We start from the raw sequence: 7,975 nt of genomic DNA, 5'->3' as shown, positions 1-7,975 counted from the left end.
TCATTTAAGTTAGCAAACTTGGATAAGGGATGCTTTGATGGAATTAAGTACTCCTTTGGAACATTTTATTCTGCTATAACAATCCATTCCATTGTGTTATAAAGTAATTATAATCACCACTCAGTGTCCCAAGTCAGAGCAGGAGAAGAGAAACATTAAGAGCAAGAAGTATCAGAAGAATCTTACATGCTAGCTTTCTGCTTTTTAAGAATTAGATGGCAATGGCCAGGCCCGGTGGTTCACACCTGTTATCCCAGCACTTTGGGAGGCCAAGGTGGGCAGATGACCTGAGGTCGGGAGCTCAAGACCAGCCTGACCATCATGGAGAAACCCTGTCTCTACTAAAAATACAAAATTAGCCAGGCATGGTAGTGCATGCCTGTAATCCCAGCTACTTGGAAGGCTGAAGCAGGAGAATCACTTGAATGGGGAGGCGGATATTGAGGTGAGCTGAGATCGCACCATTGCACTGCACTCCAGCCTGGGCAACAAAAGTGAAACTCCTTCACAAAAAAAAAAAAAAAAAAAAAAAAAAAAAAAAAAACCCAAAGAATTAGATGGCAACATCTTTTAATAGCATGATCAATGGGGCAAATGCTTACAGTACTTCTAATATGATTGTACTAGCAAGACATGCTATAGAGAAGTGATGTAGGACTGAAAAGGAAAGACTCAGTGGATAATCCATCTGGGGAAGGAAAGTGCCTCCCTGGTCAAGAGGAATTAGTGATGGGGCAAAACAGAAACCAGCCTGAGGCCGCCATTGAAAGCTCAAGTTTGACACTGGGGAGGTGTCCTGGGACTCTTGAACCAACTTCGTGCCTTTGGGTGACTAGCAAAAGCCAGGGCCAAGCCAGTGGCTTTCACAGATCTGAAAGGACAAGAAACCATGGCTTGATATAACCAAAGGACAAATTCTGGGGCAACTTTACATTCTAGATATGAATGAAGTTCCAGGCTGAGGACAAACACAGAGGCCCATGCGCCCCAAGATTTCACATTCATTTAGGAAAAGGGGAAAAGTGTCAGTGGTTGTGGGATAAATGAATGAACTTTGCAGGCTGAAATTGCCCAGAATTTGCCAGATCCTACAGTGCAGTTCTCACATGAAGTGTTCAGTCTAGGTGTTTTCTCTGGCATAAACTTCTTGCATAAATTTTCTACAAGAGTATTTGTCCCATGTTATGCTTTTAATAAAACTGATAATTGGGAGAGTTAATGAAAGATGACATGGAAAATGGAGCACAGCAGCAATCCATTGTGAAACAGATATGATACATTCAGGATCTAGCCCAGGCAGGTCGGGAAGGCACAAGTAAATTACATGGAAAGGTAGCCCAGACTCCCACATTGCATACCTTGTTGCACCAAACCCTCCCCCTCAGCCCACACCTAAGTGCTCTTGGGAACCTCCTTTGTCCAAATGAAGGAAAAGGAAAGAACTTAGGCCAAATTTGCTGACATGTTGGCATTATATATTTGTGCTGGCTGAGAGTGGACTTCTGCTGTATTGCAGGCTCACTCCAAGATGGTTCTGAAGGACAGCAGTGAAGGGATATTCTCTCAGCCTGGAGAGATTCAAGCAGTACACGTGGCTGTTCACTTCAAATGAGGGAAGTTTATGAAGGAACTCCTGGTCAGTGGCAATGACTGGGCTGGGTAGCTCATAGCCCATAAGGAATAAAACTGCAACATTGGAGAGAGGGAGTATTGCAGAAGAGCTCCATGGCTGAGTCTATGGGATCTTTGTGCTCATTAAAAAGCACTCCTCACAAAGGAGGCTTTCAACAACCAGGTGGACAGTATGACTCTTCATATGAATATCAGCCAGCTCTGTTCTCAGTCATCCAGGTGCCAGGGGCTGCAGTAAGGGCTCCAGGAAACTTGAAGTTGTACTGCCACCGGTTACTTTGGGCTTCTCAGGCCAGTAAAGCAGCAGACAAAGAAAAGAGCTACTTATTGTATTGGAGGGGAGTTCAACTTTGACTAACAGATCATCCTTGTCTTCATCCACAAAGCATATGTTCTTGTGTGAAAAGGAATGAGGGAGGGGAGGTCAGCATAGCATAAAAACATGGAATGGCTCTGTACTTAATATTATAGAACATAATTTCTGAACTGGATAGCCCTTGCTATGGTTTGAATGTTCCCTCCAAAACTCATGTTGAAATGTAATTGCTAACATGACAGTAGTAAGAAGTGGGGCCTTTAGGAAGTCTTTGCCCTCATGAATGGATTAATGCTGTTATTGAGGGACGGGGTTAGTTATCTCAGGAGTGGGTTCCTGATAAAAAGGGCAAGTTCAGCCCTATTTTCTCTCTCTGTCTCACACACTTCCACCTTCTGCCCTTCTGCCATGAGACTCTCTCCAGATGCCAGTGCCATGTCTTGGACTTCCCAACCTCCAGAACCATGAGCTGAATAAAGTTCTGTTCTTTATGTATTTCCTGGTCTGTGGTATTCTGTTATAGCAGCAAAAAATGGACTAAGATAACCCTAGTCCATGTTTCTTAGTCTAGAATGCATGGATAGGAAATCCATGGATGAGCTTTAAGGGATCCATGAATATCCTTATAGATTTTCTATACAAAATGCTGTATACATGTACATTGTAGGGGAGAGAAGATCCTTAGCTTTCACTGGGTTCTTGAAATTCAAAAAGTGAATAGGATCTACTAATCTGATGTCATTTATATAAAATAACAATGAGGAAATGTTTATATATTTGTGAAGGAATATACATGTTTGATAAAAATAACTGGAACTGTGCACTGCAACATGTTGTTTACAGTAGTTAGCACTCACGGGATTGGAAGAATTGGGTGGGAATCAATGAGGACTTTCTTGTCAGTCATGTTGTTCAGGTCTTTCAAATAGTGAGAATATATTGGATATTATTGTGTTAAACATTTTAAACTATTTATCTAATCGATTCTTTTTATTTTACAATTGACAAAATGAGTTTCAGAAATGTGACCTAATTGTCCGAATCATACATGTTATTGGCAGAGGTGAGATGAGAAGCAAGCCTTCTGCATCCTACCCCCACGCTTATTCTAGTTCCCCTGTGACACTCACAGCTGGTTTAAAAGGATCTCTACCACCTTTTGGGTTGATCCCTCTGCCAGGCCCATTTTAAACTATTAAGTTGCATTATGTTTGCACATGCATATACAGTTACACAGACCAAATCGTTTTACAAGTATCCTAACAAACCATCATCACTTCTTACATACGGTCAGAAAGAGTAAAAGAAACTGATTTCCACAGGGTATCAAGGTCAGAAGCATTCCAGAGCTTTTTGATTTTTGAGCTCCTTTTGTTCAACGAAATCATGCTGCCAGTTCCAGTTGTATTTTGAGTAGTAGCTCTAAAATACAATTAATGAGGATCAGAAACTACTACTGGGCAACACTCCCTTGAGTAGTAAAGTAGGGACTCTGGAGTCAGACAACCAAGTTCAAATACTTTTACCACTTACCTGCTGTGTGACTTGTGCCAAGTTGTTTAACCTACCCAAGTCTCAGCATCTCATCTATAAAATGGGATAATAATCATAACAATTCTACTTCTTAGGAGTATTGTAATAACGTATGTAAAAGCACTTAGCTCTGTGCCTGGCACAATTCGATGTTAGCTGTTATTCTCCTTACTGGATGATTCTCAAAAGAGGGTCTCCTTTTTAGGTGTGGAGCTACTTATTCCAAAACAGGAATTCTCCATGAGGAAATGGAGAGTGCCGGGAACATCTCAGATGAAGTTTCAGGCTGTGTTTTCCCAATTAAGGGCAAGACATCAAAGAGGAACATGTCAGGGAGAAACCCCTCACCACTCTCCGTGTCCCATGATGGCCAGTTCCCCTTGTGGACAGATCTCTTGTCATTCATTCATCTTATAATTTCATGCGGTGGTGAGGATAGGGGAGCAAGGTACGATAGATGCTGAAAGCCCAAAGACTAGCTGCAGGGATGAGGAAAACTTTAATTTAATCATAATTAAGGATTCTAAATTTATTGGAGGTCGCATTCCAAAAAATCCTTCCAACTCCATCAGACTCTTCACAGCTGTGACAATCACATGCCTCCCTAGCACAGAGATTCTTTGACTTCAGGGTGCATGCGGGTCAGCAGGCATGCCTGTACGATGAAGATTCCTGGGTTGTATCCCTTGAAATTTTGAAATTCCCAGGTTGTATCCCTTGAAACTCAGTTAGCATGGCTTTTGCACACTCAGTGTCCCAGTGTGCCTTTTGACTACCTGCTTCAGAATCGCCTGTGGCTTTGTTTAAAAGGGTAGCTTCCTGGCCAGGCGCAGTGGCTTACGCCTGTAATCTCAGCACTTGGAGAGGCTAAGGCAGGCAGATCACTTGAGGTCAAGAGTTCGAGACCAGCCTGGCCAACATGGTGAAACCTAGTCTCTACTAAAAGTACAAAAATTAGCCGGGCGTGGTGGTGCATGCCCAGCTACTGGGGAGACTGAGTCAGGAGAATCACTTGAGCCTGGGAGGTGGAGGTTGCAGTGAGCTGAGATCTTGCCACTGCACTCTAGCCTGGGCAACAGAGCAAGACTCCATCTCAAAACAAAACAAAACAAAAACCTGTAGCTTCCTAGACAATCCTGATAAACATTCATGTGTGAGAACCACTGGAAAAGACCTTGCAAACTTGGCCTCCTCTGGGGGCAGATTAAATAGGTAACACGGTTACAAGGAGGCACTGTGCTGTAACGCCATAACAACCTGGATGCAGAGGGAACCCGATTCTAGTAATTCCTTGGCCAGCGGGGGTCAATTCTCAGAAGGTTGAAATGCTAGTCTATTTTTCACTGTTGGAGTCTGACTTAGTAACTCAGAGTTAGAATCTTTCTTTCCTCCTTGAACAATCAGACCACTGAGCCAAGAGTTTCTTTATGGTGTTGATTTATCAAATAAGTCACATCAATCTAAGATTAGCCCCGTCAAGAACTGTGTGTTATTTATTGATAACTTTAGTTAAGAAGAGCTCATAAAAATTTTGATACTTCCCTAACACAAGCAGAGGGTAACTTTTTTATGATGCAATAAACTCTCATTCCTCAGCATGGCAGATAAGGTTGCATGAGTGCTAAGGGATCCTTGCAGTGATCAAATTTGTACTGTTGAACATTTCAAATAAAATTACCATAGTGAAAACCTTTTTGCACAGGCTAATGAGACTTTAAGTGAGATCAAGCAGGAGGCAAATCCAATCATTCACGTAAGCCTTCATATGTAACTCAGGGCTCTCTGGTTTAAGAAACAGACTGCTCAATGAGAAAAAGACCAACAACCCAATGGAAAAACGAGTATAGCACTTGGGAAAAAACGCTCAACTTCACTTATAATAAAATAAAAGTAAACTTCAAGAAACTATTTTTACCTGTCAGATTGATAAAGATCAAGAAGTTGTGATAGGCAAGAGTCCTGTACGTCGTTGCTGAGAATATAAATTGAAAGACAGGTTTTGGAAGGACGGTTGACAATGTCTATCAAAAATTTAAGTGTAATGAAATAGACTCAGCAATTTCACTTCTATGAATTCTTTATTCTTTTAGAATGTATGCACAGTAGTACTAGCGTTCTTTATAATAGTAAATGTCTGGAAACAATCTAGATGTCCATCAATGGGCTACGGGTTAAATACACTTTTGTATTTCCATATGATAGAGCAGTATTCAGCCAGTAAAAACAAAGAGCTACATCTCAACAAACGAGTATAGGAAAAATTCCAAGATCTATAGTGTACGAAAGAAAGCTACCATTTATGTTGCAGGCACTGTTCTAAATCCTTCACACTTGTTAATTAATTTAATCATCAAGTCATATGAAGTAGTACCATACTAATGGTACATCTCAGTTTCTGTGATGAGGACACTAAGGCCCAGAGAGGTTAAGTAACTTGCCCAAGGTCACACAGCTACTATACAGCAGAACCAGGATTCCGACCCAAACTCCAGAGTCCAAAGCTTGTGCTTTAACCACTGAAATGTATATAGTATGCTGCTATTAGTGAAAAGAAAAACACCTCACTTATCTCAACGTACATCATACATCACAAACGTATATATTCAGAGAATCTCTCCTGAAAGACAAATGTGAAAGCAATCGCTGGGGTTGCCTTTAGGATGATGAATTCATGTCTGCAGGTCAGTCAGTGAGAAGGAAATACTTGAATTATGTTTCACTCTTCAGATTTTTTACTTGGTCATATATAATATTCCTCCATCTGCCAGTTCCCACTAAGAAGCATACAGATAGCAACATTAACAGGTCACAACCTGTGCTGTGTAGGTCACAGAAACGGGTGTCTTTAAGGCGGGCTGCAGGGATTGAGGAATTCCATATCTCCACACTTGAAGTCCTACTTTTTTAAAAATAAAAAAATTTTATGCAGAGAATTAAAATCGTACTTGTTGCAGATTATGGACAGTTAGAGGACCCTGATTTTATCTGCTTGTTTTTTCCCCAGTGAGGGATTAAATCTTCCCCAAAACTGTTTATTTCCAAGCATAGAACATTTTCCTAATAGCCTTCCCCAAGCGGATCTGAGGTTCCAGGTGGAAATCCCAGAGGGTGATTTAGTGAAGGTCCAAGGACATTTATGGGAAATGTTAGAGGTCAATTTGGGGTGATTTTGGAAGCCCTGATTTTGTCCAATGTCCACTGTAACCATTTTAAGTTTTGGTGCTTGTATAAACAGAAATACTAGAGAGAGAGAGAGATGTAAGATTAAAGAGCCATTGACCAAAGCAAATGCAAGCCGGTATGGAGTTTCCACAGCTACACAAAGAAAATGGTGGGGCAAACCAGATGAGTCCACAATCATTGGAAAAGAAGAGCTGATTGTTTGAAACCTGTGGGGTTGTGAGGGAGTGCCAGTTTTCATTGGCCTCAGACATAAACACTGACGCTGTCAGCCTCCTCAAGGGTGTGCTGTGTGTGTAGCTCTCCGGTGTGTTTTCTACTTAAGCTGCAAGCCAAGAAGGGGCATTATCTCAGTTGCTGTCCCAAAATGTTGGACACCACAGTGTGTGGCCCCAATCCTTATCCTGAAACCCAAGGCTCTGCCTGGATCCTCTAAGTCCTTAAGAGAGGGAAAACCCCTGAGGCCTGAACTGATTCTGAGTTTGTCCGACTCCAACAAAGAAAGAATGAAGCATTCTGGAGCTTCACCTCTCAAAGACCTTTTCAGAGCAAATTCTCAGAGATCATCAGAAACTCCATGGTGACCTGGAAATTTTCAGTTCCTTGGGGAGCTGCCTAAAGAGATAGGGCCACTTGATTTGCCGTGTCAGAGCCCTCTCTGGAGTCTGGGGATACATAGGTTATAAATATCTAGGATACCGGCTCTGGCACCTTCCCTCCTGCAAGTGACTACATGTATATTTGTACGGCAATCCACCAACCATTGCTCCAGCACCTTCCATCAGCCACTTGCTGACCCAACCTTATTCTAATTTCTGCCTCTTGTTTCTGGTATGGGTTCCATTTCTCTGGAGCTTCCCTGGTGGGTGTCACTAGCTGATCGTATCTGAGACTGCTGGGTAGCATCTTGTGGTGAAGTGAATATAGACTCTGGAGTCAGATGATTGAGTTCAAAGCTGTACCATGTATCAGTTGGGTGACCCAGATACATTGTCTTAATCTCTCTCTGCCTCTTCCTCACTGGGGAATCTGTGAAATGGAGATGTAATAGTAGCTACATCAGAGGGTTGATTTAAGAATGTAAATGAGAGAATGTATACAGTCGAAAGCATTTTTTTCACTTTGGATTTACATAGGAGGAAGTAAAGCATAAGTAAAAGTTTTAAAACAGGAGGAAGACATTCTTGGTAGTAAGAATTAACATTGGCTTAGATTACTAAGAGAAGGCATGGAATTAACTTGGAATATAATTCTTCTCTTGAGATAATTTAGGTGTTTTAACTTGGTGATAGTCAATGGAACAAATGACCTTGA

The 7,975-nt window shown here is 41.6% G+C and overlaps 1 annotated feature.

The window, feature by feature from the left end:
* Window positions 1,409-1,609: a silencer, noted in NCBI's record as "peak3928 fragment used in MPRA reporter construct". NCBI's record gives its function as "represses an SCP1 promoter by STARR-seq MPRAs in K562 erythroleukemia cells {active_cell/tissue: K562}" and the evidence as "EXISTENCE:reporter gene assay evidence [ECO:0000049][PMID:32103011]".

The sequence above is a fragment of the Homo sapiens genome, chromosome 2 (assembly GCF_000001405.40).
Source record: "Homo sapiens chromosome 2, GRCh38.p14 Primary Assembly".
Lineage (NCBI taxonomy): Eukaryota > Metazoa > Chordata > Mammalia > Primates > Hominidae > Homo > Homo sapiens.
The sequence above is the reverse complement of the archived record's forward strand: the minus strand, read 5'-3'. Positions and strand labels throughout refer to the sequence as shown.